Source organism: Homo sapiens, chromosome 9, assembly GCF_000001405.40.
Source record: "Homo sapiens chromosome 9, GRCh38.p14 Primary Assembly".
In the NCBI taxonomy this organism is placed as follows: Eukaryota; Metazoa; Chordata; class Mammalia; order Primates; family Hominidae; genus Homo; species Homo sapiens.
The window spans coordinates 136255338-136283013 of record NC_000009.12 but is presented as its reverse complement, the minus strand read 5'-3'; the positions used below and the strand labels follow the sequence as shown (position 1 = coordinate 136283013).

The following is a 27676-nucleotide window of genomic DNA, read 5'->3' as shown; positions in this document are numbered from 1 at the left end:
CTCCCAAAGTGCTGGGATTACAGGCGTGAGCCACTGTGCCCGGCCTCAGACTGATTTCTGAGTTGGGGTGAGTCTGTCCCCTCTGTCCCATGGGAGCCCAGCACTCAGTGGTGGAGGCACTGGGGCTTCTAGCCACCCAGCCCGGGTTCCAGAACACTTCTCCAGGCCTGTGCTCCCAGGTGCCATGCAGCCCCTCACGGCCTGGGCACACGTCCAGCTCCCCTGCAGCACCAGGAATGCGGGCGGGGGTTGGGAGGTGGGTCACCACCATGACCAGACCCTGCACAGCTCCTGCCCACAGCAGGTGTGAGACAAACACCTGTGGGCCCTGCGGGCTGCTGAGGGAGGGCGTGTCTACCCCCTGCCTAACAACCCCTGGGCCACAGGTGTGGGCAGCATCTTCAGCCACTCCAGTGGGTTCTGGGTCACTGTGTACCAGGAAGCACAGATGGGGGCCCTGATAAGAAATGCGAAGTGAGGTGAGCCGTGCTCACAGATGCAGGCTCAGCACATGCCCCGCCCACATGCCCCGGATGCAGGCTCAGCACATGCTCCGCCCACAAACCCGTCTCTCTGTGCACCCCAAAGACCCCTCATCCCAGTAGCACTGCCTCCCCGTGCCTGGTAGCTCTCCCTCACCACTTGGCCACCTCTGGGAGAAAGGTCAGTGGCCACACCTGGCTCCTGGCTCTGTCAGCCTTGCGTGCTGGCCAGCTTGAGTGGGGGCAGGTGTGTGGGTCCAGTTGTACCTGCCTCCATGGTCACAGCCCGGGTGCTCCCCAGATAGGTTGCCCTGCAGTCTCCAGTGCCAGCCTTGAGCAGTGGGGTGAGGGTCACAGCTGATGCGTGACCCCGTTCCGCTCTGGGCCTGGTGGGCAGTGCCCTTAGTAGATGGTAGAGATGGTCCCGATGACCACGCTGGCTGGGAAGACTCTGATCTTGGCCCTGGGGACCAACGGTGGCCACGGAAGCTGACCGTGCACACCCCTGTTCCCCCTGGGGTCCGAGTGCAGAGCTCCGAGCAGCCAGGCTTGGCGCCAACGCTTCCCAGATGTGGGCTGGTGGCTTCACCTCAGCCCACGCCACCACGCTGGGACGCATGCTCAGGCCCCACCCACTCACCCCTGCCTCCCGCTCACCCCTGCCTCCTGGCTCCCAGGCCTCAGGCCCTTCCCCCGCCAGGCTTTTGGCCCTTGGGTCCCACCCTGGGCACACTGTTGGGGGTCTGAGAGCTGCTCCAGGCCACGGGAGCCCAGGTTCCTGCTCAATGAGGGGCTGTCCCCCGGATCTCCCTGCCTCCTGTCTCCTCCACGGGCCTGGCCCTGCCACACGTGTGCCTGTGTCTTCCAGCTCATATGCGGGCCCAGCCACGCTGCACCCTATCTGGGGCTCCCTGGGACTGGAGGAGACGCCGTCGGTCGGAGGGGCAGATTCTGTGGCGCCCTGCACCCCCCGGAGCTGCGGTAAGGGCGACCCTGCGGACAGGCCCTGGGCTGGCTGGTCGGGTGGCCGGGGCATCCACCGAGAACACCTTCCACTGCCTAGCACTCGAGCTTGGCCCTACGGGGTAGAGAAATCCTTTTCCACGTGGAGAGCATCCACGCCTCGTTATTAAAGGTTTTAGAGGCTTTCGGGACCCTCTGCGTGCTCTGTGCTCACCACACCTGCAGTGATGGGCCCTCGGTGGATGAGACCCACGTGCTTATTTCATGACAGCCATGCCCCGTGCCGCTGTGCCCAGCCCACCTCCTAGGGCGCTTCCTTACAGTCCCATCAGCTCGGATTCGACTTTTTCTTCTGCTACTGAGTGTTTTCATCCGGGGTTTCCAACGAGCAGTGCCCACTGCCTGGTGCCCAAGGGACCCAGCAGCTGCTGAAGCCCTGGGCTTGAGGGCCTCGTGCTGGCGTGGGCTGCGCTGTAGGACCCTCCTGGCTGGGGGGCTTGGCAGGGCAGCTGGAGGGGCTGGTGCAGCCATGGGAACTGAGTGTGGACTCAGAAGTGGGGGACCCCCGTTTGCCGCTTCATCATTGTCTGTTGATTTTCTTCAAAAGAACAGGTTTTGAGCATTGGAGTAAAACACATTCATGTCTGGCTGGGGGAGAGATGGTGGGAGGGTGCATTCTGAGTGAATGGGGGCCCCCATCCAACCCCTAACCCTGGACCACCACCCCAGAGCAGCCCCAGATACAACCTGCACCCTCCTTGGCTGGCAGCGGGGAGGCCTGAGGAAGGCCTGGGGGAGTGGGCGGAGCCCCAGGTGTTCCTGCTGCAGGGCCAGTGCCAGGGGGAGGAGAAGGGTTCCAGTCCTGGTCTGGGTTCAAAGCCTTGGGCTGGAGCCCTCCTGGAGTCTGCTTCCCGGCTGTGGGGCTTGGGAGTGCTCATCGGGTCCTCCCCAACTGATAGCATCCACCCAGGGCCCTGGAGCCACACCTGGCAGCTTCAGGGAAGCTGTTCTCTGTGGACCAGCAGAGAGGGTCCTGTGTGTGTGTGCACGTGCATGTGTGTGTGCATGCTTGCTTGTGTGTATGGAGGGGAGGGCTTGTCGGGCTCACACCTGAAGCCCTCTGAGGGAGGAAGGGTCTGCGTCTTCCCCACCCCGGCCCCTCCCCTGGGAGACTCTCCCAGTCTCCAGGGTGTGGGAGCCTCTGCAGCCCTGGTATGCACCTGCCCCTTCCTTCCACACACACCCTCTGAGCATCACTGCCTGCCTGGCACTGAGAGAGCAGGCCCCGGCCCTTACAGTGCCTGTGTTTCAGGGCAAGTGGGCAGTAAGAAGATGAGCAAGTGAGGATACACAGTGTGTGGGATCTGAGGCATGAGTGCCAAGGGGAGAATTCAACAGGAAGAGGCAGAAAGCGCATGTGCCGGTGGGGTGGGGCGGCAGTTCAGAGCCAGGAAGGCCCCCGTGGGCCTCTGGCCTTGGTTGTTTATGCTGTCGTAACAGAATCCCAGAGACCGGATGATTTATAATGACCAGAAATGTATTGGCTCACAGTTCTGGAGTCTGGGAAGTCCAAGAACAAGATGCCGGTGTCTGGCAAGGGCCTTCTTGCTGCATCAACACAGAGAGGAAGGCAGGAGGGCGAGAAGGAGAGAGGACGACGGGGTGGGACTCTTCCTTTTATAGTGAACCTGCACCCACAATGATGGCACTCATCCATTCACAAGGGTGGAACCCTCATGGCTGAATCGCCTTGTGGCTGAATTGCCGCCTCATGGCTGAATTGCCTTGTATTTCAACATGAGGAGGGACAAATGTTCAAACCATAGCAGCACCTTTTCTCTTCCCAGAAAGTGCAGCCCAGGGAGGTGCAGCAAGCTTCCCAGAGTGCCCGGGTATGGGCTGGGATGGGGCTCCGTTCTCCCACTGCTGGATTTGCTGACCGCCCTTCCTGAAGGCTGGATGGGCAGGGGCTGGCTGCTGTGAGTCACAGACAGTTCCAATGGCTGCAGGACAGCCACGTCTTGGCCAGGATCTCCCAAGGGGGTGAGGTCAGAGTCAGGCTCTGCCTCCTCCTTGGAAGGGGCAGCCTGAAGGGGCAGTTTTTACCCCTATACCTCATTCACCATCCTATGGGCGGAATGTGCAGTAGCCCCAGGGGGACAGGCAACAGGAGTCTGTTGGGTCTAGTTTTTATGACTGGAGGCAGCACTGTCCGAGAGAATCTTCTAGACATAAACACTTCCACCAGAGCTGTCCAATGGAACCTTCTAGACTTAAACACCCAGAGCAGAGCTGTCCAGTGAAACCCAGACTTAAACACCCAGACCAGAGCTGTCCAATGGAACCTTCTAGACTTAAACACCCAGACCAGAGCTGTCCAATGGAACCTTCTAGATTTAAACACCTAGACCAGAGCTGTCCAATGGAAGCTTCTAGATTTAAACATGTAGACTAGCTCTGTCAATGGAACCTTCTAGACTTAAACACCCAGACCAGAGTTGTCCATGGAACCTTCTAGATTTAAACACCTAGACCAGAACTGTCCAATGGAAGCTTCTAGACTTAAACATGTAGACTAGCTCTGTCCAGTGGAACTTTCTAGACTTAAACAGGTACACCACACTGTCCACCAGAACCTTCTGCAATGAGGGAAATGTTCCGGATTCTGAGTTGTACAATATGGTAGCCACCAGCCACATGTGGCTGTCAAGCCATGAAATGTGGCCAGTGTGACTGAAGAGTGGCATTTTATGTTTTATTTTCTGTTAAGTTTAAATGTAAACGGTGGGTGTGGCTGCCAGCCGCCATGTTGGACAGCAGGGCCCTGGCTCTCAAACTCCACAGCCCCCACTGAGGGTAAGGGTCCTGTCAGCCTCATTCTGGTTTGAGGCTGTGACTCCCCAGGACCCAAGCCACATGACTGAGAACGTAGCTAGTTAACATCATCACTACCAGCAGTGACCGCAGCTGCCATGTGCCAAGATCTGTCAAACTGTCCCATTGCATCCTCACAGCTACCAGGGACTTTGGGGTGGCACGTGGGGCTAGACTTTTGGGGCTCCTCACCCATTGCTAGAGGAGTCAGGGCACTCACTGGGGTGACTCCTGCAGTCTCTGTCCAGCCAGGGCCGTGCCCAGCTCGGGGACGGCTCGCTTTCTCCGGGGTCACAGCTCAGAGCTCAGGAACAAACAGCTCATGTCCCCCCATGTCCTCTGATCTGTTGGGTGCTGACATGGCCGGTGATGACCAGGACTCCCCCTCCTCAGGCCACAGCTGGGAGATCTGTGGGGGCCGCAGGACTGTGGGGCTCCCAGGAGCCAGAGGGGCATTTGGTGGGGCTGGGGACCCTTCTCTGGCTTCAGCCTCTCTCAGGGCCATGAAACAAAAGCAAAAGATGGTTTCTTCCCTTTGCAAAAAAGGAATTTCAGCTCAGAACAGACACCTGAACCCAAACAAAGAAGTGTAAGAGTGTCTTCACTTCCCATCATCACCAGTTAGATGGGGGCCACGGGGGTGACCCCGAATGCTCAGTGCACGCCAGGTGGCCAGGCGCCCCTGCTGCTCACCCTGTCTCGGTGCTTTGGGGTGTCCTCTGCTGCTGTGGAAACGCCCAGGAACCGGCTTAGCTGTGGTTCATGGCTGAGCTGCTCCGTTCCGGGAAGGCGAGCAGTCCACTGGAGGAGCTGCCGGTTCTGGGACAGTCGGAGTGGGGATCCTGGTCTTGGCTCCATCCATACACCAGCCAACAGTGACCAAGGCGCTCATCCACAAGCCATCACGAGGGCCCCACCATCTGCAGACCCCATTGCATGCAGCACCTCCTGGTGGCAGCCTCTGTGGGGCCAGGAGCTCCAACAGCATTCAGAGTCAGAGCTGGGACTTGGGGCCACCAAGGAGAAAGGGAAGCCCCCTCCGCTGCTGCTGGGGACTTCACTATCCAAGGAAGAGGCTGAGGTTTTCATACCCAAGCTCTGGACCAATCCCAGAAATTCCAAGGAGAGCCCTGGACTTGTGCCAGGTGCTTACATCAGCACCCACCCACCCTATGAGCACCCACCCACCCCCTCAGCACCTGCCCACCCCCTCAGCACCCACCCACCCTGTCAGCACCCGCCCACCCCATCTGCACCCACTCACCCCCTCAGCACCCACCCACCCTGTGAGCACCCACCTGCCCTGTCTGTATCCACTTACCCCCTCAGCACCCACCCACTCTGTCAGCACCCACCCACCCCATCAGCACCCACCCACCCCGTTCACACCCACCCCGTCATCACCCACCCACCCTGTCCACACCATCAGCAGCAGCTTCTACCTGCTGAGTGCACAGCCAGCCTGTACCAAACTATCTCCTTGGACCCTCACACAAGGGAAGGAGGAACCTCTGTGTCCCCACTGGGCTCTGACTGACAAGTGATTTGTTCAAGGTCACATGGCAAATGCATGACAGACCCGGTCTGTCTGGGGGCAAAGCCCATGTCCTGGGCCTCCGCCCTCCCCACAGACTCCTGCCATCCATCCTGGAGTTGGTCCTGGCCGGGGTCAGGCAGAGCCAGCCTTAGCAGGGACGAGGAGATGCAGTGGGTCTCCGTGTCCTTCCGTGGGGCTGCAGCCCTCCCAGCCCTTCCTCGACATGCAGGGCAGGGGCTCTTGTTGATGGAGTTGATGCCAGCTGGGCTCAGGACTCAGGCCACCTGCACTCCTGGCCTCTGTGCCTCAGTTTCCCTGCAGGTGGAGAGGCTGTATTAACCTGTCATGCCATGGTGCACTAAGGCAGCGGCGAGGGGAGGCCGGGAGAGCGGCCTGGGCCACTCAGCTATCCCCCTCCATGGTTCCACAGGTCAGCAGGAGGACCCATGTGTGAGATGCCTTCCCAACACCCAACAGAAGACCTCCAGCTTTCTGGATTCTCTGAAGGTTTGCCCAAGGCCGATGACAGCTGGGTCCCCTTTCTGCTAGGTGGTGAGCCGGGAGCAGCCTCTGTCTCCCAGAGGCCAAGCAGAAGTGGCACTAATGTGCAGACTATAGAATTTAGAAACAGAGTGGCCGGGTGAGAGGGAGGGGAGCATGCAGGTGGGAGGAACAGACAGAGGGCGCCTGGCCTTCCCGGGCTGATGGGGAAGCCCCTGGCAGGGAGAGAAAGTCGGGGGGCTGGAGGGAGGGGCCCTGCCCAGACATAGGATCCCTTGGGGTGACCCCCGAGGAAGGGGCCCACCCTCCCTGGCTGGGGGCAGCAGGAACCGTGAGCTGTGGGCTCTCCCTGCAGCTGGACCAGCAGAAGCAGGCGTTGGCCCTCCTGCGGCAGCGGGCAGAGCTGGAGGCCCGGGAGACACAGCAGACCCTGGATGGGCTGCTCTTCAGGAGGCGGCTGGAGGTAGCAGCCGCTTGCCACAGGGGGAGCCCCTGTCTCTGCAGGAGGTTGGGTGGGAAGGTCAGTCACACTGGGAAGGAATGCGGAGACTTCCATAGGAACAGTGGGTGCCCCTCGTCAAGAGGAGGCAAGCCAGAGGCTAGAGCTCCCTTTAAAGCAAAGTCTCTATGCAGAAACAGGAGGTTTCAGCCACATGTGTCCTGGGGGCGCTGGCACTGGGGGGTGCCCCAGCGGGAACCAGAGCTGGGTCACAGATGGCCATTGGAGCCTCCCACCTGTCCGTGTCCCAGGCTTGGTAGGCCCCTGAGCCCTGGGCTCTCCATGGGAGCATGCAACCCAAAATGCATGTGGTGCTTACACCCCCGGCAGGTCTCTTGCCAGACAGGAAGGAGCTTAGTGTCTCCTGAGCCACCTCTGCCGGGCCGTCCTGCACCAATAGTGTCCCCTCCGAAAGGCAGCTCCCACTGCCCGGGGTGGCTCAGCACCTGCCCCATGAGGGGACAATGTCACCCAGTCCGAGGAGCGGTGACCCTGGCAGGGGATTGATCGGGTGGCTGACGGCTGTGACCTGGCTGGAGGGGATAAACCTTCTGGGAGGTGGACCTTTCTTCTGTGTTTGGTTCAGGGGTCGATGGTGGGAAGTACATCCACGGTACATGTTGGGGGGCATCTCCAGGAGAGTGATGGAAGTATGTGCGTGCACACGTGTGGGTGTGTGCACGCGTGTGGGTGTGTGTGCACGTGTGTGTGTGTGGGAGTACACATACAGGCAGCCTCAGACCGACAGCAACAGAGACACCCTGCCCTGTGTCCCTGCCTGTTCCCTCCCTGCTCCCCGCATCACAGGATTTGCTCCCCTCCTGTGCCTGCCCTCCCAGCACCCCCAGCCGGGACCGGAGCTGGGGTTTCCTTCCCACCCGTCTCCATGCAGCTGGTCCCCCAGCTCCCACACCCTCCAGCCCTGGCGGGGCACTGGCCACCCCTGCTTCCTTGCAGTGGCCTCTCTGGGAGGCAGAAGGGGGCTGTCGGCCCCACTTGCAGGATGGACAGAGAGGCCCCTGAGGTTGGAGACTTGCCCAGCTTCAGGCTCCTCCTTGGGACTGGGCTTGGCCTGACCGCCCCGACCCAATGCCCACAATTGTGGAGCCGCCTCCTGCATTCTCCGCAACACACCTCCCACTCCTCACAGCAGCTGATGGAGAGACACTCGACCCAGGCCAGGCCAGAGGAGGCGTTGAAGCTGGAGCAGCCTCCGATGTGCAAGGACCGAGAGCCGACCACAGCCTCTCAGAGCACAGGGATGGCCACACCCAGGTGAGGTCGGGGGCTGGGGCTGGCCACCCCCTCCCAATGTGGAAATGCAGGTTGCAGAGTCTCTGGGCACAGGCAGTGGGGTGGGCACTGCGGGCGCTGGTGCCAAGTCTCCCGGGCATGTCCTCACCTGTAGGTCACACCCGCCTCTGGACACAGATGCTGCCACGTCCTCCCAGGGTCCCGAGGACAGGCCAGAGAATGTGGTGGCCAAGCCAGCCTCTGCAGGTGACGGTGTCTTCAAAACCCCACCCAGGCCTGGAGGCAGGCAGAGCCCTCGGCCAGTGTGAACCCGAGAGGGGGGACCCGAGGCAGGTGCACAACAGGGAGGCCCAGAGGGCTACAGTGGCTGCCTAAGGCCATGCAGAGCGGAGCTGGGATCTGCAGCCAGGTCTGTCTGACTCCAGCACTCGCGTGACTGACCCTCGGGCAGCCCTAGCCCCTGGCATCGCTTGAGCCCGGGGAACTGGGTTAGACAGCTGGCAGACACCATCTCCACCCACCCAGCCTTGGGGAGCTGAGTCAGGATCTCAGCAGGAAAGCTTCCCTAGAGCTGGGGGACCAGCCTGACACGAAGGGAGGTCCGCAGCCCAGGGAGGGTGAATGCGGCAGCTCGGCCAGGTGAGCACAGGCTGCTGTCGGCCTTGCTCCGGGACAGAGGGTCTCAGCTCCTCTGAGCTGGCATGACCTCCAGGCTGGCCTCCAGGTGGCTGCCATCTCCTGGAAGCCTGGGTACAACCTGTCTTGGCATCTTCGGGAACAGGAACCCCTCCCTGGTTCCAGGCCCGTTGATACGCCCACCTCCACTCCTTTGAGCGGCTTTCCCTGGTGGGAAAGCTCTCTGCACAGCCTCCCCAGCGTGGGCTGCACAGAAACCTGGTCCAGACTCCCCTCTCGTGTGATGTGTGTCAGCAAACAAGGAAGGGTCTGCGTGCAGGTTGTAGGGATGGAGCGGCAAGACCACCACAAGGTGATTTCAGCCCTCAGTGTGATCATGGCAGATGCGGTGACTTCCCAGCCGGCCACAGTCGCCCCATCTCCAGGCTTGGCACCTGCTGTGCATTCCTAGTTTAACTTCATTGTGTTCACAAAACACATCTGTGTGAACCTCGTAATGTCCAGACTTAGGTTTTGGCCTGGAAGACAGTCTACGTCAGTGGGTGCTCCTTGAAAACAATGTCTATTCTGTTGTTGCTGGGGGGAGTGTCCTGTGGTAACACTTAGATCAAGTTGGTGGATCACGCTCTTCAAATCTACTGCATCTTGGATTTTCTGCCTAACATTCCTATCGATGAATAAGAGACTGGAATTGAAATATCACGTTGCAATTTGCCGAGTTCTCCTTGCAGTTCTACCAGGTTTCGCTTCGTGTATTCTGAAGCTCTGACACCAGGCCCATAAACACTCGGGATCATTATGTGCTCTTGATGAACTCACCCCTCTATCATGATGCAATAATCCTCTTAGCCGCAGCAGTATCCTTCGCTTCAGAGGCTATTTTGTCTGATATTAATACAGCCCCTCCGGCTCTCCTTCAACGGGTGTTTCATGATATCTCCACTGCCATCCTTTTACTTTCCATTTATTTGCATCTTTGTATTTGAAGTGTGTTTCTTACAGGCAGCATAGAGTTGGATCTTGCTTAAAAAAATCAATCTGGCAATCTCTGCCTTTTAATTGAGGTGCTTACACTATTCACATTGAACGTGATGACGGATGTGGTTAGGTTTGAGTCTCACCTGGTTATTTTTCTTTTGTTCTGTCTGTCCTTTATTTTCTTCTTCCACTTAGTTTCTGCCTCCCTTTGGATTAAGCAATGTTTTTAATGATTCCATTTTATCTCCATTGTTGGCTCAGGAGCTATAACTCTTATTATTTTAGTGGCTGCTTTAGGATTTATAATAGTATATACAGTTGACCACTTCACTTATAGTACAAGGCCAATTCTTCTTTCCTGGCCTTTAAGTTATTGTTGTCATGAATTTTATTTTAAATGTTTTGTTTGTTTTTTGAGATGGGGGTCTCACTGTGTCACCCATGCTGGAGTGCAGTGGTGAGATCTCGGCTCACTGCAACCTCTGCCTTCTGGGCTCAAGCAATCCTCCTTCCTCAGCCTCCCAAGTCGCTGGGACCACAGGCATGCACCACCACCCCAAGCTAGTTTTTGTTTTTTTTTTTTTCTTGAGACAGAGTTTGCTCTTGTTGCCCAGGCTGGAGTGCAAAGGTGCAATCTTGGCTCACTGCAACCTCCACCTTGCAGGTTCAAGCGATTCTCCTGCCTCAGCCTCCTGAGTAGCTGGGATTACAAGTGTGCACCACCACGCCCAGCTAATTTTTGTATTTTTAGTAGAGACGGGGTTTCACCATGTTGGCCAGGCTGGTCTCGAAGTCCTGACCTCAGGTGATCCACCTGCCTCGATCTCCCAAAGTGCTGGGATTACAGGCGTGAGCCACCACGCCCGGCCATTTTTGTATTTTTTGTAGAGATGGGGTTTTGCCATGTTGCCCAGGCTTATTTTAAATGTTTTATAAACTCTGCGATACATTGTTATCATTTTGTTTAAACAGCCAATTATCTTGTTAAAAGTTTTAAATAATATATGTGTTTATATTTACATCTGCACATAGTCGTCATTTTACCATTTCTGGTGCTCTCCATTGCTTCCGGTAGATGTAGATTTCTAACCCGCATCCTTTTCCTTCTGCTGGAAGGATTTCCCTTAGCATTTCTGGTGGTGCGTGTCTGCTGGTGTCTTTAGCTTTTGGATGTCTAAGGACACCTTCATCTCATCTCTGTTTTTGACGTACTCTTTCCTGGACATAGAATTCTAGGTGCAGTTTTTCCCTTTCAGTACTTTGAAGACATTGCTCCATTGTCTTCTTGCTTGCATTATTTGTGACAAGAAATTGATTGCCATTCTTCTTGGTTCGTCAGTACATCACCGTGTCTTTGTTTCTCTGGCTGCTTTTGACTTTCTCAGCCAGGCGTGGTGGCTCACACCTGGAATCCCAGCACTGTGGGAGGCCCAGGCAGGTGGATCACGAGGTCAGGAGATCAAGACCATCCTGGCTAACATGGTGAAACCCCATCTCTACTAAAAATACAAAAAATTAGCCAGATGCGGTGGCGGGTGCCTGTAGTCCCAGCTACTCGGGAGGCTGAGGCAGGAGAATGGCGTGAACCCAGGAGGCGGAGCTTGCAGTGAGCCGAGATCGCGCCACCGCACTCCAGCCTGGCTGACAGAGTGAGACTCCGTCTCAAAAAAAAAAAAAAAAAAAGACTTTCTCTTTGTTACTGGTTTTGAGCAATTTTATTATGATGTCCTTTGTTATTGTTATTCTTCATTTTTTAATTTTTATTTTTTGAGACAGAGTCTCGCTCTGTTGCCCAAGCTGGAGTGCAATGGCACAATCTCGGCTCACTGCAACCTCTGCGTCTCAGGTTCAAGCGATTCTCCTGCCTCAGCCTCCCAAGTAGCTGGGATTACAGGCACCCACCACCACACCCGGCTAATTTTTGTATTTTTGTAGAGACAGGATTTCACCATGTTGGCCAGGCTGGTCTTGAACTCCTGACCTGAGGTGATTTGCCCACTTCAGCCTCCCAAAGTGCTGGGATTATAGGCAGGAGCCACCACGCCCAGACCATATTTCTTGTCCTCTGGGTTTGTTGAGATTCTTCGACCTGTGGATTTTTCATTTTCTTCAAATTTGGAAATAGTTCAGCCACTATTTGTTCAAATATCTTTTTGCTCCTCTTTCTCTCACCTCTCCTTCAGGGACTCCAATTATGTGGGCAGAAGATTACCCAGGTGCCGAGGCAAGAGACTGAAGGCACAAACTGTTTCAGTATAATAAAGAAAATAGTTAGAACAAGAATAGTTATATTACAAATTAGATATAGAGATGATCATGGACAATTATCAATCATTAGGATAAACATTATTAATCATTTAGCTTTTAATATTACTCTTTGTTGCATTACAAATATAACCTAGGGATAACCGGTGGGTATAGCATCAGGTCTGAAGGGACATTGTGAGAAGTGACCTGGAAGGTAAGAGGTGAGGCCTCTGTCACACCCGCATAAGGGCCGCTTGAGGGCTCCTTGGTCAAGCGGTAATGCCAGTGTCTGGGAAGGCACCCGTTACTTAGCTGACCATGAAAGGGAGTCTCCTTTCCTTGGAGGAGTCAGGGAACGCTCTGCTCCACCAGCTTCTTGTGGGAGGTTAGATATTATCCAGGCTTGCCCCCAGTCATCCGGAGGCCTAAACCCCTCCCTGTGGTGCTTCAGTGGTCACCCTCCTTGTCTACTTTCATGTTCCTCCCATACTCCTGGTTCCTCTTTAAAGTTCGTAGTAGATAGCAGAAGAAGAAATAGTGGAAGTCTTAAAGTCTCTGATCTTTCTTATAGTACACAGAAGAAAACGCTGATGTATGCTGCCTTCCCTCTCTGCTTCGGCTACCTAAAAGGGAAGGGCCCCCTGTCCTATGATCACGTGACTTGCTTGACCTTTTTAATCACTTGGACGACTCAGTGATTAAGACTCCTTACCCTGCCCCGTTGTCTTGTATACAATAAATATGAGCGTGCCCAGCCATTGGGGGCCACTACCTGTCTCCGCTTCTTGATGGTAGTGGTCCCCCGGGCCCAGCTGTTTTCTCTTTCTCTCTTTGCCTTGTGTCTTTATTTCTTACGATCTCTCATCTCCGCACATGGGGAGAACACCTGCTAAGCCCCGTAGGGCTGGAGCTTACACAATTACGCATACATTAGGCCACTTGAAGTTGTGAGCTTACTGAAGCTCTTTGTATTCTTTTATTCTTTTTTCTTCTCTGTTTCCTTTTGGATAGTTTCTATTGCTATATCTTCCAGTTCGTTCATCTCTCCTTCTGCAGTGTCTAGTCTGCCCTTCATCCCATCCAGTGTGTTTTTCATCTCAAGTGATTTAATTTTCATCAGTTTACACATTCCATTTGGATCTTTTCGTTTTATATCCTCTGTGGCTCTACTTAACATCTTAACATATGCGATAGAGTTACGAAACTTCTAATGTCCTTCTCTGCCAATTCTCACACCCACGTCAAGCCTGGGATACTGTTAATAAATTATCCTGCTCATTACTGGTTGTGTTTTTCTGGTTTCTTTGCATATCTTCTGGGCCCTGTGAATTTTACCTTGCTGAGTGCTAGATATTTTTGTATTCTTGTAAACATTCCTTTTTTTTAATTTTTCCTTTTGAGACAGTCTCACTCTGTTGCCAGGCTGGAGTGCAGTGGCGCAATCTCAGCTCACTGCAACCTCTACCACCCAGGTTCAAGCAATTCCCCTGCCTCAGCCTCCCGAGTACCTGGGACTACAGGCGCCCACCACCACGCCCAGCTAATTTTTTGTATTTTAGTAGAGACGGGGTTTCACCATGTTAGCCAGGATGGTCTCCATCTCCTGACCTCGTGATCCACCCACCTTGGCCTCCCAAAGTGCTGGGATTACAGGCGTGAGCCACCGCACTGGCCCCTATAAACATTCTTAAGCTTTCTTCGGGACTGCAGTTATTTAGAAGTAATTTGGTCCTTTCAGACTTTTCATTAATAGTGTGTTAGGTCGATCTGGATCAGTGCTCAGCCTGGGGCTAATCATTTCCGACAGTCAAGGCAAGAACGTTCTGTGTACACTGCCTGCCCAGTGACCTGGGAGTCCTAAGGTCCTCCAGCCTGACTACTGGAAACAGGCGTCATTACCAGGCTTCCAGTCCCCCGGAACGCTTCTGTCCCAGCATCTGGTAGCTTCTTGACACGCATTCATCCATCAGTTCTCTACTGAATACTCCAGAGGGACACTTGATACATCTCAGAGGTCCTCTCTCTGTGCGACTCTCTCCTCTCTGACACTCTGCCCCCACAAACTCCAGCTGCCTTGGTCCTCCCAGACTCTCTGCTGTCTCCTCTACCCAGGGAGTCCTCCAGCTCAGCCAGCTTCCCCTCCCTCACCATAGCCTGGCAACTCTCTGAGGCAGTAAGCCGTGAGCATCGCAAGTCTCCTCCCCTCCTTTGTTTTCTGTCTCTCAGGGATCACTGTGCTATGTTGCCTCAAGTCCAGTGCCTGGAAAACTGTTATTTCATATGTGTGTGTGAAAAAATATATATATATGTATACACACACATATCTCTATATAAACACACATGTGTGTGTGTATTTACGTGATTTTTTCAGTTGTTGCAGATGGGATGGCAAAGCCAAAATCCAGTCCCTTTTGCTCTGTCTTTGGTGGGAGGGAACGTCCTTAAGGATCGCTTGAAGTACAGGCTCCTTTTTCCATCACTCAGAACAGAAGCATGGCCAGCAGAGGTCGGCAGCAGGTCAGCTACTTCAGCTGGGGATCTGGGATCTGCTGTCACCTGCCAGCTCCTTGGTGCTAGACCCCGACAGCCCTTCTCCCTCTCTGGGCCTCACTCTCCCCTCCTTTAGAAGCCTGTAGACGCAGAGCAGCTGGGCTGTCTCCCTGAGCTTCCTCTACTTTTGGTCTGGTCTTTCCCATGATCAGTAGGGTCACAAACCACAACTTCACATCAAGAGACTGCCTGTCCCTTCCCGCGTGGTCTTGTGGATTCTGCGTGAAGCCCTGTGTGTCCGGGATGGGATGGGGACACTAAACTGCCCTAGACCTCCTACTTTTATGAGGCCCTCCGGTAGAAATGGCCCCTGACACGGGGCACTCAGACCCCCTACATGACCCAACCATGGCGCTTCCTTCCTCAGAGGTGGAGGGCCCTGACGGAGCCCTCTCCCAGCTTCCCCTGGCCAAGTTCTTCCCTCCGGACAACCCCACCCACCAGGTACGTGGAGAGGTCCCCTGGGGGAGAGGCACAATTTCAGGACCCAGCACGGCCCTGGTAGTGGGCCCCGGACCCAACTGTCCTTCCACTAAGAAGGGCCAAGGCAGGTCCTGGGTTGGGAGGTTCTTCCGGCGATCGCGTCACCCGCTCTTCCAGCTGACAGCTACCCAAGCCCGTTCCTCCCGCCCTGGGTGACAGAGGGGGGCAGGCATTTCAACATGGTGCTTTGGGCAGGGTTAGCCCCCGCCCAGGTTGTATATTTTAGGGCAGGTGGCCTGGGCTTCCTGGATCAGGGCTGGTGGTGAGGCCGAGATGCTAAAGATCCTGCCTGCCCCGCCAGCTCACAGTCGGGGAAGCGAGGGCGGCATAGGGGGATGGGAGGGGCGGGCAGTCCGAGAGGGCTTCTCGGAGGCGGTGGCCTGTGCTGGGAGCGGTCTAGAAGCTAGGCGGTGACGCGGCCCACCCTACTGGAGCCCCGCGAGGCCCGGAAGCACCGAACCCAGAGCTTTAGGGGCCTTGGGCCGCTTCAAGCTGCAGATGCTGGAGCGGAGCCTGCGGGAGGAGGAGCTGCGAGCACAGCACCAGGCCGCGCTGCTGCGCCTGCGAGAGATGGCGCTCCAGGAGAAAACGCTCGCGGAGCTGGCCTGGCTGGAGCATCGACGAGGGTGAGCGCATGCGCCTGGCGCCGGCCCCGCCCCGCCGTAGCCCCGCCCTGCTGTAGCCCCGCCCTGCTGTAGCCCCGCCCCCTCCCTGCCCCGTCCGGGTCCCGCCCGTGGCCCCGACAGCGTTTTGAGAAACAAGAGGTACTGGTCCAAACAGTAATAGGTGTTTGCTGAAACTTACATAAGGCAGTAAAGTACTCAATACACAAATAAAAAAATACCCCCATCGTTCCAAAGGTGACCTCTGAGATCATCTTTGTGCATACTTTGTTTTTTTGTTTTGTTTTGTTTTGTTTTGAGACAGAGTTTCGCTCTTGTTGCTCAGGCTGGAGTGTAGAGGCGCGTGGCGCGATCTAGGCTCACTGCAACCTCCGCCTCCCAGGTTCAAGGGATTCTCCTGCCTCAGTCTCCCGAGTAGCTGGGACTACAGGTGTGCGCCACCACGCCCAGCTAATTTTGTATTTTTAGTAGAGATGGGGTTTCTCCATGTTGGTCAGGCTGGTCTCGAACTCCCTACCTCAGTTGATCCGCCAGCCACGGCCTCTCAAAGTGCTGGGATTACAGGCGAGAGCCACCACGCCCAGTGCGGATACTCTGTTTTGGGGAGAAACACACATGGCTATTTCAACTTGCAAATGGGCAGTACGTGCTGTTTTGTAACTTGCGTTTTCAATTTATATGTCAGGAAAACCTTTCTGTGTAGCTACATAACCGCTATAACACACAGGGCGCACCGGCGTAGAGACAGGGCTGTAACTCCCTTCGCTTGTCCCGGATCTCCGGGCCTCTAGGTTGTCTCCAACGTTTTGCCATTATTAATGAAGATAGAGAGATCATTTCCTTAAGGTAAAACCTTAGAAATGGAATGACCGGGTCAGTGAGAATGCATCTGGAAGCCGCTTGATACTGCCACATTGGTCTCCAGAAAGGTGATTCCAGTTAACATCCTCACCCGGTGTCTGAGCGGGCCAGACTGAGGGTGTTTATTCCATGATGGGTGGGGGGTGGATGTGGGTGACCCCCACCTCCCTCCCCAGAGGACCCACTGGCCTGGGCTGGGCCTTCAGGGTGGCAGGGGCGGCTCTCGGCTAGCCTTTGTCTCTTTAGACCCAAAAGTCCAAAAGTGGCTGTGAGGGGTGGAAGAGTGACAGCCCGGGTTGGGCCATCTGGCCACCCCAAGGCTTCCAAGCCTGTCCACGCATGGCTGCGTCCTCCCTGGTGCCTGCACCTTGGGAGGGCATTCCAGGTTGATGTGGCCGACCAGGGCTGGCTGTGTCTGTGACTTTCTATATCCACTTGCACGGGCTGTCAACATTGGCAGTGATGTTGCCACCTCCCCCCAGGTGCCTGGACAGCAAGAGGGACAGAGCTGTGCTGGCCGCGCTGGTTGAGAAGCAGCAGCAAGCCCTCAGCAGATTGGAGAAGGAGCAGGTGGGGCCAGCACAGGCCTGGTGGGTCAGGGTGGGCGGCTCACAGAGGCAGTCGTGTCATCTTCTTGCCTGGAATCTGAACATTCCCCAGCAACAGAGCTAAAGAATTCCCAAGCCCTTGCCACCCTCCAGGGCCATACAGGACCCCGAAGTATAGAAGGAGTGTCCACGGCCCAAGAGGGCATCACGGCCAGGGTGGAGCGTGGTCCTGTACACAAGGAGTGTCTGCGGCCTTCTGGGGGCCTCGTGGCCAGAGTGGAGGGTGGCCCTGTGGCCCTGGCTCCAGACCAGGCTCAGCCTTTTGCTGGATGTCACCTTGAGCAAGTGGCTTTGTCTCTTGGAGCCTCAGTTTCCTCCTTGGAACCAGAGAATAATTGTGGTCTCTGTAAAGCAGGGGGTTGGGAGAGTTTAGTGCAGCCAGCACTTACCCGGGTGGACGTGTGCCATGTACGCCCTCAGAGGACTTTCCCAGCTGCTCCGAGCCCAGTTCCCTCATCTGAAAAATGGGGAGAAGCCTGATGTGCACATGCATGGGGGCTGGGAGGGTGGTGCAGGTGAATCCCTAGCCGCGCCTGGCAGGGAGGGGTCTCCATCCGTGGCTGCACCTGCCTTCCTGCCATCGTTGTCACCAGGGACTGGAGGAAGCAGACCCCCAGGGAAAGTCGGTGCTGGGGGCACATGTGGAGGGGGGAAAAGCTGCCAGAGTCAGGGCTTTGCCTGCGGCAGAGAGCAAGGCTGAGGGGCAAGCCTGAGAGCCAGGACGAGGACCCTTGCCGGCCCCTGCCCAGGTCACAGGCTCAAGGGCTCCTCACAGGTCGCGGCCGCTGTGCCTGCATCCTCACTTCAGTGCCCCCATGCTGTGGGGCAGAGGCTGGCGCTAACACCCTTGGTACAGATAAAAGAACCTGGCTGGGTGAGGCAGTTCATCCGTAATTCCAGCACTTTGGGAGGCCAAGGTGGGAGGATCGCTTGAGCCCAGGAATGTGAGACAGGCCTGGGCAACATAGCAAGACCCCGTCTCTACAAAAAATAAATCTGCCACTATAGGTGGCCAATGCCTATAGTCCCAGCTATTTGGTGGACTGAGATGGGAGGATTGCTTGAGCTTGGGAGGTCAAGGCTGCAGTGAGCTGAGCTTGCACCACTGCACTCCAGCCTGGGCAACAGAGTGAGACCTTGTTTCAAAAAAAAAAAAGGTGAGCTGGGGTGGGGGACTACTTTGCCCACGACCCTCTGCTGGGAAATGGGGTCAGTGCAGGACCTTATGTTGACTGGAAAGCCCCGGGATCCCCATCCCTGCCCTGGATGCCCTGTACATACTACGACCTGGGGTGTCAGGCATGGGGCATTACAGGCAAGGGAGCTGGGGGCGGAGACCCAGGCCACAGACCCATGCACAGGTCCTCTCAGATACGGAGAAACAGGAAAAGGCAGGCACCACAGAGAACAACGTGAGCCGGGGAAACAAAAGGGGCTTAGAAGGGGTCTGCATGTCACATGGCAACGACGGGGCCTGGCAGAACAGGCGCTGCCCAGGGATCCCAGGCGGGAGGAGCTGGAGCTGGCCGGGGCCAGGGACTCCCAGCCACAGCCAGGCTGCGTGTCGCAGATAGAGATGCCGTGGTGGAGGTGGGGTCTGGGACTCCCCAGTGGGGCCATGGACCAGACACCCGCTTGGCAGAGCCTCGCTTTCCCGTCTCACCAGTGAAGCTGCTGTCTCCCAGGGCGAGTGTGCAACGGCCCGGCCCGGCCCTGGGCTCTGTGCAAGGTTGTTCCGAGGGTGCGTCCACCAGGGACGCTGTGGGGAACAGAAAGAACAGTTGTAAAGGAGTGACGGGGTGGGGGCAGTGCCTGGAGCCTGCAGAGAGGGAGGGCGAGGCCCAGCCAGCCTGTGCCAGCCCTGCGTGGGCCCTGGGGAAAGAGTACCTGCCTCCCTCCTGCCGCCCGCAGCTGCCTCCTCCACCAAGCCCAGGGAAGCCCAAGGCCATGGGGGTATCCTAGGCCCGGCAGGAGGGGCGGGCAAAGGCCAATTGGAGGGAAAGGGAGGCCTCCCAGTGTGAGGGCCAGGGCATCCCCCCAGACACCCCTTCCCTTTTGTTGGCCTTTTCCCCTGCTGGCTCCGGGGTTATGCTGACATCTGCTTATTTTGCCTGCTCAGAGGGAAATCCAATACCTGAGACACACGCAGCTGTTCAGGCACCGGGACAGGAAGCTGCTTCTGCAGCATCAGAGGGACGTCGTCTCCATGCCGGGGCCTGTGGACATCCTCCCCATCCCGGGGCCCACGGACGTCGTCCCAGCGCACGAGCTGCAGGCCCAGGCCAAGCTGCAGCAGGTGGGTGCTCTCGCCTGGGCTGGGACTCAGCTGCAGAAATGCTGTCCCCTTCCCATGATCGTGCAAGTCCCTTGTAAAAATGCCTGTGGGCCGGGCGCGGTGTCTCACGCCTGTAATCCCAGCACTTTGGGAGGCCGAGGCGGGTGGATCACGAGGTCAGGAGATGGAGACCATCCTGGCTAACACAGTGAAACCCCGTCTCTACTAAAAATACAAAAAATTATCCAGGCAAGGTGGTGGGTGCCTGTGGTCCCAGCTACTCGGGAGGCTGAGGCAGGAGAATGGCATGAACCCCGGGGGGCGGAGTCTGCAGTGAGCCGAGATATGCCACTGCACTCCACCCTGGGCGACAGGGAGACTTCGTCTCAAAAAAAAAAAAAAAAAAAGCCTGTGGCCCCAGGCAGACTTGCTGGGGGGTGGGGTGGGGCAGATGGAGGGAGGGAGGGGACACTGCTGGGGGGCTGAGGAGGCTTCCTGGATGGGGTGGTCCTGGCCAGGCCCTAGAGCAGAGCCAGACTTCAGGTGGGGGCAGCGGTGGATTGGGTGGGGAGGATAAGCAGGACTGGGGATCTCATGGGACCCAGGCAGGAAGGAGAGTGTGGCTGGGAGCTCCTCAGGGAGGCCAGCCCCTCAGGGACCCCAAGCAGCAGCTGCATCCTTGGAGGGAGGCTCCTGTCCCCCATGTCCACCGGCAGACGGAGTGAGGACGCTGTGTGGACAAGGGGTGGGGGACTGTCCCCAGGCAAGCTATGTGCCTTCCCCACCTGCGCGTCTCCTCTGTAAGGCAGGGAGGGCAGCAGGCTCACCTGGAGGGTGGGGATGAGGATTGAATGATCTGAGCTCTCTGAAGCACCTGCTCCAGGCTGGGCTGCAGGAGAGGGGACACCAGCAACCTGATTCCAGAGCTGGGCATGGGGGTCTCTGGCCAGCCTTGGGAAAAACTCCTCATTCTGGGCCTCCCATCCATACCTCTCAGTGGGGGTGCAGGACCCCTGCTCAAATGAGAGGTCCTGTCTCAGCCTGGCACCCAGTGGGGAGCAAGCAGCCCCGGCACTGCCCTAGCCCTGCCACAGCCACAGCCACGTGAAGCCACCAGCTTTTCTGAGGAGGAAATGGGCAGAGGTGGCCTTGCCAGGCTCTCCTGCACCATTTCTTACAGGGTTCCAGCCCCAAAGTCAAGGCCGCCTGGGAGGGAGGCTCAGAGACAAGCCAGCAGCCAGAGGCCTCCCTGTGTCCCCTGACCCCATGCAGGCCCAGCAGCTCCACCAGCCATCGCCCCCAGAGCAGCCCCGCAAGCTCAAAGGCCACGCGGTGAGTTGGTTGGTCTTAGGGGGTCGGGGGTCGGGGTCTGGACCCTGATGTTCCCCTGAGAAGCCTTTTCTGCCCCGGGTGGCCGGTGGACGAGCCTGGCTCAGGGGCCGGGGTGGCACGTGTAGCCCTGGGCATCCCCTCCCAGGGTGGCTGGGGGCTGTTCTGCCGGCCGGTGGCAGCTCAACCTTCTCTGAGGCTTGGCCGTATGGCCGTTGGCTTTGGTTTGCAACAAAAGCGCCTCATTAAAGGGCACCAGGGCTCTGCCTGGACTGTCCCCATGGAGCAGGGGAGGGGGAGTGATGACCAGGGTCACCTGCCCGAGAGCCTGGCCGCTGCCCGAGAGCCTGGCCATGGGAGGAGGAGCTGTTTTTCCCATCAAGAGCCTCCCGGCTTCCTGATGCTGGGAACAGCTCTTCTTTCCGGGCTCGAAATGGCCCTGGAGGGCCGAGGAGGCCTTCTCTCCTTTGAGCTCAGGCCCCCAGGGCCAGCAGCCCTCAAGACTCTATCACAGAACCCCTCGAAGCAGAAAGCGGGGGGCAGCGCAGACCCGGGGGAGCAGCCTTTGGAGGCCCCTGTCTGCCTGGGGGAGCGTCCTGAGGCTCTTTCCCAGCCCAGAGGGGCCTCTGCAGTGAGGGGAGTTGCTGGCCACTCAGGCTCGGCCATTGGCTCCGTGCCTCCTCCTGAAGCTTTCAAATAAACCTGGGCACAGACTGATCTGTCATTCACATTGCAACCAGTTGCCAGTCCCAGGAATCTCTGAAGAGGCTTCCAGGCCAAATACCGCCCCTTGGTCCCCCAGGGTTTGCTTATAGGGCTGGAGGGGAGGGGCCGGTACATGTATGGTTGCAGACCTGGACCCCAGCATGGGTGTCAGCCCACCCTCCTGGCGGAGGGGTACACCCTATGCTCGGCTTGTCACACCAGCGATGTGTAGCACTGTCCACAGCTAGAAAATAGAGAAAAGTGAGGTATTCACAGAGAAAACTTCGGCTCCCTGGGAGCCTACCCACGAGAAGCTCGCCTGCGGTGTTTTGCTGGGGGTCCTGCCACACGGGAGCAGGTGCGCTTCCCTCCTTCATTGGGCCGTTCGAGAGAAGCTCAGCTGTGAGCTGGGCGCCTTGGGGTCGGGGTGTGTCTATGAGCACTCCCACGGGAGTGAGGAAGAAGCTGGACAGAGCAGATGGAGCTGCTGTGGGGTCCTGGCCTGAGACGCCGCGTGCCGAGGAGGGTGTAGGGGAGGGGAATGAATCCTTTAGGACATGGGGGTTCCTGTTCCCATTTTTATTCAGCCTGTTCTGTTTCTGGGGCGGCTCTAAGAGCACAGTGCCTTGGTCTGCTTTGTGGGCTGAGTGCCGGGCCCTGGAGGCACTGCCCTGTCTCCCTCCAGAGCCTGTGTGGGGCACACACTGGCGTCAAGATGCCCTCCCATTGCTGCCCCAGTGAGAGTGCGGGCTGCAGCCCCTCAGCTGCATCTACCTTGGGATACAGGGTTTCCAGGCCCTTAGGGCCACCCTCCTCTGAACCTCCTGCTCACCCTGGACCATCTGTGAATCCGGGGGGAAATGCTCAGGGGCACCCTTGGGTGGAGGCAACAAGCTGTGCCCAGATGTGGCAGGTGCCCGGGGGAGAAAGGGAGGCAGACGACGTGTCGCCGGGCAGGCACCTGAGACAGCAGGAGTTTTCTTGCCACCCCAGCAGTGTGACCCAGGCAGAGTCAGATGGGGGGGTGCCTGGAGGTCAGTGCAGGCCTGGGGTGGCACCGTGATTCTCGGGGGCCCAGCATGTGCACCTGGGAGGGACAGTCCATCTCCAGGCAGAAGTCTCAAGGGGCCACATGCTGGGGAGACACAGGCCTCTCCCACCCACCTTGCCTGGGTGAGGGGGTCACAGTCCCGTCTTCTGCTTGGCCACTGACCACAGCCATCCCTGGATGTGACATGAGGTTGTTCCCAGGGAGAGGGTGCTGGTGGAGGTTGTGGCCAGGGCTGGACACCTGGGAAGGGGCAGCCGGGCGGGCGGTCACCTCCACTCTGCATGGCCGTGCAGCCCTCCCACTGAGCAGCAGGATGTGACGCCACCCCAGACAACCTCCGATGCAGATGGTCACCAGCAGCCTCCGAGGCCAGCATGGGGCGAGGACACACACGACCCCCAGGGCCCGCTGGTGGAGAGTGGCAGCCATGTCAGTCAAGGTAATGAGCAGCCGCGGCGACCGCCCAGGGTCAGACGGATGCTCATTCAGTGGGCCCTGGGCAGTGTGGGGTGGCATTAGGCCCAGGGTCAGGTAGGCCTGTGTTCTGGCCTGCTGTGCCCCGCCTGTGACCGGGCCACCCCGGCCTCCCTGTTTCTGCATCTCAGCACAGCAGAGCACACAGTGGGTTTGCCAGCAGGCGGGCCACCCCGTGCACTGGCAGCCAGCATTCCCAAGATACAGATCGAGGGGTGTGCCAGCCGGGAAACCACTCAGGTTCTGTCTGGGAAGGGCTCCTCATGGGGCGGCTACTCAGAGCCCCTGGGCCACGTGCAGCCCTCAGACTGTTGCCAGGCAGGTCCCAGAAACACAGGCCCACAGAGAGCCCCTGGCCAGGGCAGAAGGAGGATTGGGCAGGGCCTGCCCTGCGCTTGTCTCAGAGGCTGCTTTTCCCAGGCTGGGGCTGAGCAGACCCTCGGGCCTCCAGGCAGGGGACATGGCAGGGCAGATTGCTGGATGTGGCCCCAGGCCGTCCCTGTCTCCCTTGAGGTTAGCTTGTCTCTCCCCATCCCCCACCCCCTGGCAGCTCCATTCTGCCCCTGCCTCCTTCCTTCCCTTCCTGGTCTCAGTCTGTGGTTGCTGCTGGTGACTCCTGGGATTGTGTCTTTCAGAGCCTGGGGAGCAGCCTCGGGCCCCTCTGCTGGGCCTGCAGCACGTGAGCCCCCCGGACGGACAGCGGCTGGGCCCAGCCTTTCCCGTACGCACTCTCCCTGGAAGCCCTTTCCCCAGCACCGCCTGTTTCAGGGACCACCCCCCCCCAACATTCTGCCAATCTGTGACTTGATCTTCATCTTGGTACCCTCCCCCCCAACATTCTGCCAATCTGTGACTTGATCTTCATCTTGGTTGGGGCCCCTTGGTTCCTGTGGCCGGTCCTTGGTTCCTGCAGTGGGTCCCTGTTTGTCCCTGCCTGTCCCCATCTGTCCCTGTCCGCCCCCGGCTGTCCCCATCCACCCCAGTCTGTCCCCATCTGTCCCCATCCATCCTGGTCTATCCCTGGCCCTTGGTGCCCTCCCTTCAGGGCCCTGTGCCATGTCCACTCCCGTCTCACCCCCCAGGCCGAGGAGGCGGAGGGGCGCCTCCCCACAGCTCAGTGCAGGTCTCGGGAGGTGAAGGAGCCACCCCCAGGTAAGCACCCTGGAAACACCGCGTGGGCCTCCACGGCGCCAGACACTTCCCCCACATCCAGCAGAGCCTGTCCGAGGCTGGAGCTCAGCCACTGGACAAGGACGGAAAGCAAAGAAGATGGGCCCTGGTGGCCCCCCACCCTGGCCTCAGACCCCTTCACTGCAAGAAGAGTGGCCGGCTCCATCTCCTACCGGAGGTGACGCAGCGGCTCTTCTGGAGAAATTAAAAGTCATAACTGGCTGGGATTGTTTTAGTCGCAACTTCGTTCATCTGGGGCAGATTTTTAAGTGTTTGGAAGCCAGCACTGCCTGAGCGTCTTCAGCTGACGGAGGTTTCTGCACCGATTACATTTTTCTCTTTCTGAACCTTACACTTGGCCGGGGCCCCCCCCGAGAGCCAAGTCCCCAATTTGCAGGTGGGGCGGGAGCAGATGCACTCACAGTGTCAGGGAACCCTGGTGGTGCGTCTGGTAGCCGCCGGCTGAAGAGTGGGGGGTTGTGTGCCCTGCGATGCCACCTCGGAGCTCCCTGACCAGCCCTGGGTGCCGAATTCAGAAGGCCCCCACCCAGTGTCCATCCTCGGAAGCAGGGAGACTATGCCACCCAAGGGGGGTGGCATAGACTGGGGGGTCCCTGCCGTTGGGGCCAGGGAGAGCAAACCTCAGGACAGATGGGTTGAGACGGAAAGAGATCAGAAGCACTTGTGGGGCTGCCCAGGAGAGCGTGGCTGGTGGGGCTCCCTGGAGAGGCCAGTGACACTGGGAGGCGGAGTGAATACAGAGCGCTTTCCCTCTGTGTCCCGCGTCACCTCCGGGCCTGCGCTGTTCAGGCTTCTGCGGCCACCGTGAAGCTTGCTCAGCCTGAAGCCTCCCTCGCCGCATGGCCACGTGTACCAGCTGTCACCGTTCGGGGGGCCAGCCAGGCGCCTGCACCCACCATGGGTCCTCGTTGCCTCTGGAGGTGGATTCACTCGTTATGCCCACGCAGCAGAGGAGGAGCCTGAGGCCTGACTTATGTTCTCACGTGGTCTAGGGTTCACCCTGAGTCTGCCTGACTGCGGTGCCGGCCGCTCTCTGATCAAAAGACTGCGCTTGCAGGGGCTCCCTGGGTGACGCCCCATTGTGGTCGCTGGGGTCACCCGGAGCCACGGACAAGAGGGCAGGTGTTCCCACTGATGGAGCTTCCCCCTCCTTGGGCTTTAGACAAACAGCTCTGGTTCCCTTAGCCAGGTGGCCTTGGCTCTCAGAGTCCCCTGACCCCACAGAACGAAAGTCTAGGGAGATGGAGGTGCAATGCTGGGGGGCCTGGTGCTCCTGGGGAGGGCTCTGCGGTGGCCCCACCCGTCCCTTTGTCCCCCTTTGTGATCCCCGGCGGTGCACTGGTGGCCTTGCTGTGTCCGAGGCCTGCCCCCCACCGGCCCTCTGCACCACCCCTGCCTCACACCAGTGTCTGTCGGACGGCACCGAGGGGGAAGAACAAGCTCTGGCAAAAGGTTTCCCCCAAGGGAGGGAAAGAGGCCTCTAAATTATTATTATTATTATTATTATTATTATTATAATTTTGAGACAAAGTCTCACTCTCTCCCCAGCTGGAGTACAGTAGCGTGATCTTGGCTCACTGCAACCTCCGCCTCCCGGGTTCAAGCAATTCTTTTGCCTCAGCCTCCTGAGTAGCTGGAATTATAGGCCCCCGCCACCATGCCCGCCTAATTTTTGTATTTTTAGTAGAGACGGGGTTTCACTACATTGGCCAGGCTGGTCTCGAACTCCTGACCTTGTGATCCGCCCGCCTCGGCCTCCCAGAGTGCTGGGATTATAGGCGTGAGCCACTGCGCCCAGCCGGCCTCTGAATTCTAAACGAATTTTCTCTAAACTTTTGGCTGGGACTTTGATCACTAACTGTCCAATGACAGGATCATTTTAGGAGCAAACTACCATGTATGTTTCCGCCCTCATACTAACCAAGCACTGTAGAAAGGTGTACACCACTTTGAATTTTAAGATTTGTTTTATGTGGCTTCGGAATTCCTGGGAGCTGCTCCTGCTCCCTGCCTCTGTCCCCACCAGTGCTGACAGTCCCTTTGCCCTCCAGGAGACCCTCAGACCAAGCCCGGCCCTTCCTTAGCAGGGAAGCCCCGGGCTCCAACAGACAGCCATGTGGGGAGCTTCAGGGAACGCAGCCGACGCTCCTGCGGCAGAGAAGGTCCTTGTGGCCCACAAGAAGCCAGCGTGAGTCGGGTGTGGCCGTGCCCTTCCTGTGGGCTGTGTGGGGCCCGGCCTTGCTGTGTGGCCCTGAGGGGTCTCCTGGTCCATCCCATGGGTGCCCCAGGGCCCTTCCCAGCAGATGCCTTCAGTTCTGAGGTTTGCCAGTTCTCTGGGTCTCACCCTAAGACTCAACACCTGGGCAGAAAAACAGACTTTTTTTCCATGGTGGCAGGGCCCAATGGGAGGAGGGGAATCTGGCAAGTGGGGGTCTCCACAGCCCTCTTTTGAGTGGTCTTTGTTCCTTTACCGTGGTCGCTGGAAGCACAGGGGCTCCATCCAGCTACGGGAGGTGGACAGAGACAGAGGCCACACCCCAACAGTGTCATTTCTGCAACGTCTCTCCAGCAGGTGGCTGAGGACAGCATGAGCGAAGAGGGCTTGGAATCGGGGCTGGATTTTGCTGAGAGCCCCGTGGAGGAGTCCCAGGAAACCGAGAGCTGGCGATCGGGGGAGCAGAGGTGTGGGGCTGAGCTCCCTGGAGCAGGGGTGGAGCGTGAGGCACGGAGACGGGTTCAGCCGGTACCCCCTGTCCCCCTGCTGTGGGGACCCTCACTCTCTCCTGGCACACCTGTGCTGCCGGGGCACAGCCCTGCACCCACCCTGAGCCCTCCTGGGTCTGACCCACTTTTGGAAATAAAAATGTCACCCATGAATCAGCCCAAGGTCAGCAGAGCGGCTTCGAACCCCCTGGGAGTGGCAGCCCCACCCCCCTCTCTGCCACCTGATCCAGTGGGATTGAGACTGGATGCCCCCAAAGACAAGCCCTCGGGGAGCCCTTGCCCTCAGGGTCACTCAGGTGGTGGCAGAGGACTGGCTGGGATGTTTTTCGAGTGTGAGCTGTGGACTGAGCCTGGTGGGGTCCCTGACAGTGGGCCCTGGGGAAGAGGCCAGGAGGACCAGGATCCCCACAGGGTTCTCCACGAATGTGCTTGCAGGACGGAGGCCTGTCAGCAGGAGGTCCCCGGCATCTCCTCCACCTGGCTGGAGGCTGCCCAGGCCGCTGCCTCCCCAGGTAATGCCCCAGCCCCCAGCCCCTCCTTCAGCCATCGAGTCCCCACTAAGGGTCCCCCAAGCCATTTCTACATCAGAGCCAGCTTCTCCCCACAATACGCAGCCCCTGCCTTCCCCACTGCCTAGCTGGGGGGCTCTGCCCACGCACCTCCCCATCACAGGGTTGCCAGGGGAGGTGAGTGACGGTCAGGGATCCTCTGTCTGGATCCACCCACATCCCTAATGAAAATAAAACAAGGCAGAGCCAACCAGTCAGTCCTTGAACCACAGCTGTGGTGCTATGAGGCCGGGTGCCCGAGGCTCGGCAAGGCCCCTGGACA

General features: G+C 58.1%; 1 protein-coding gene across 20 annotated transcripts in view, besides 7 other annotated features; it reads left to right on the top strand.

The window, feature by feature from the left end:
- The window catches only part of CCDC187 (coiled-coil domain containing 187), a 56929-nt gene that overhangs the window by 23888 nt on the left and 5365 nt on the right, over window positions 1-27676 (top strand). For 2 of the 20 annotated variants that reach the window (XM_047423388.1, XM_047423387.1), the window contains exons 10-25: window positions 1351-1463; window positions 6287-6363; window positions 6713-6877; window positions 8007-8131; window positions 8265-8356; window positions 14889-14965; window positions 15497-15630; window positions 16971-17058; window positions 19216-19392; window positions 20552-20703; window positions 22750-22895; window positions 23566-23651; window positions 24013-24082; window positions 26173-26309; window positions 26691-26803; window positions 27281-27357. In XM_047423388.1, the coding sequence (XP_047279344.1) occupies window positions 1351-1463; window positions 6287-6363; window positions 6713-6877; window positions 8007-8131; window positions 8265-8356; window positions 14889-14965; window positions 15497-15630; window positions 16971-17058; window positions 19216-19392; window positions 20552-20703; window positions 22750-22895; window positions 23566-23651; window positions 24013-24082; window positions 26173-26309; window positions 26691-26803; window positions 27281-27357 (1829 nt within the window). Of the gene's footprint in view, window positions 1-1350; window positions 2073-6286; window positions 6364-6712; window positions 6878-8006; window positions 8132-8264; window positions 8357-14888; window positions 14997-15496; window positions 15631-16418; window positions 16557-16970; window positions 17059-19215; window positions 19393-20551; window positions 20704-22749; window positions 22896-23565; window positions 23652-24012; window positions 24323-26172; window positions 26310-26690; window positions 27358-27676 lie in introns of those variants that run through there. The other 18 variants (XM_047423378.1, XM_047423377.1, NR_111982.1 and 15 more) reach the window with 16 other exon arrangements.
- Window positions 15178-15553: a silencer, noted in NCBI's record as "fragment chr9:139159307-139159682 (GRCh37/hg19 assembly coordinates)". NCBI's record gives its function as "represses an EF-1alpha promoter that drives an FKBP-Casp9 reporter gene in an ReSE screen in phorbol 12-myristate 13-acetate-treated (for megakaryocytic differentiation) K562 erythroleukemia cells {active_cell/tissue: K562(+PMA)}" and the evidence as "EXISTENCE:reporter gene assay evidence [ECO:0000049][PMID:32094911]".
- Window positions 15308-15377: an enhancer, noted in NCBI's record as "active region_29303". NCBI's record gives its function as "activates an Ori minimal core promoter by ATAC-STARR-seq in GM12878 lymphoblastoid cells {active_cell/tissue: GM12878}" and the evidence as "EXISTENCE:reporter gene assay evidence [ECO:0000049][PMID:35858748]".
- Window positions 15618-15777: a silencer, noted in NCBI's record as "silent region_20505". NCBI's record gives its function as "represses an Ori minimal core promoter by ATAC-STARR-seq in GM12878 lymphoblastoid cells {active_cell/tissue: GM12878}" and the evidence as "EXISTENCE:reporter gene assay evidence [ECO:0000049][PMID:35858748]".
- Window positions 24344-25438: a meiotic recombination region, noted in NCBI's record as "meiotic double-strand break mapped by DNA meiotic recombinase 1 chromatin immunoprecipitation followed by single-stranded DNA enrichment and sequencing in the germ cells of some male individuals with the PRDM9 A/B genotype". NCBI's record gives the evidence for it as "EXISTENCE:chromatin immunoprecipitation-seq evidence [ECO:0000229][PMID:25395542]".
- Window positions 24344-27676: part of a biological region, named in NCBI's record as "9q34.3 QSOX2 distal recombination region", that runs on past the window's edge. NCBI's record gives its function as "recombination_partner: LOC108254695".
- Window positions 24556-24646: a recombination feature, noted in NCBI's record as "recombination_hotspot; EGL096 recombination proximal breakpoint sub-region, recombines with the EGL096 recombination distal breakpoint sub-region within the 9q34.3 CACNA1B recombination region, resulting in an interstitial deletion". NCBI's record gives the evidence for it as "EXISTENCE:DNA microarray evidence [ECO:0005524][PMID:21729882]".
- Window positions 24948-24960: a nucleotide motif, noted in NCBI's record as "nucleotide motif; similarity to the predicted 13-mer PRDM9 A binding motif (LD hotspot motif), CCNCCNTNNCCNC". NCBI's record gives the evidence for it as "COORDINATES:motif similarity evidence [ECO:0000028][PMID:19165926]".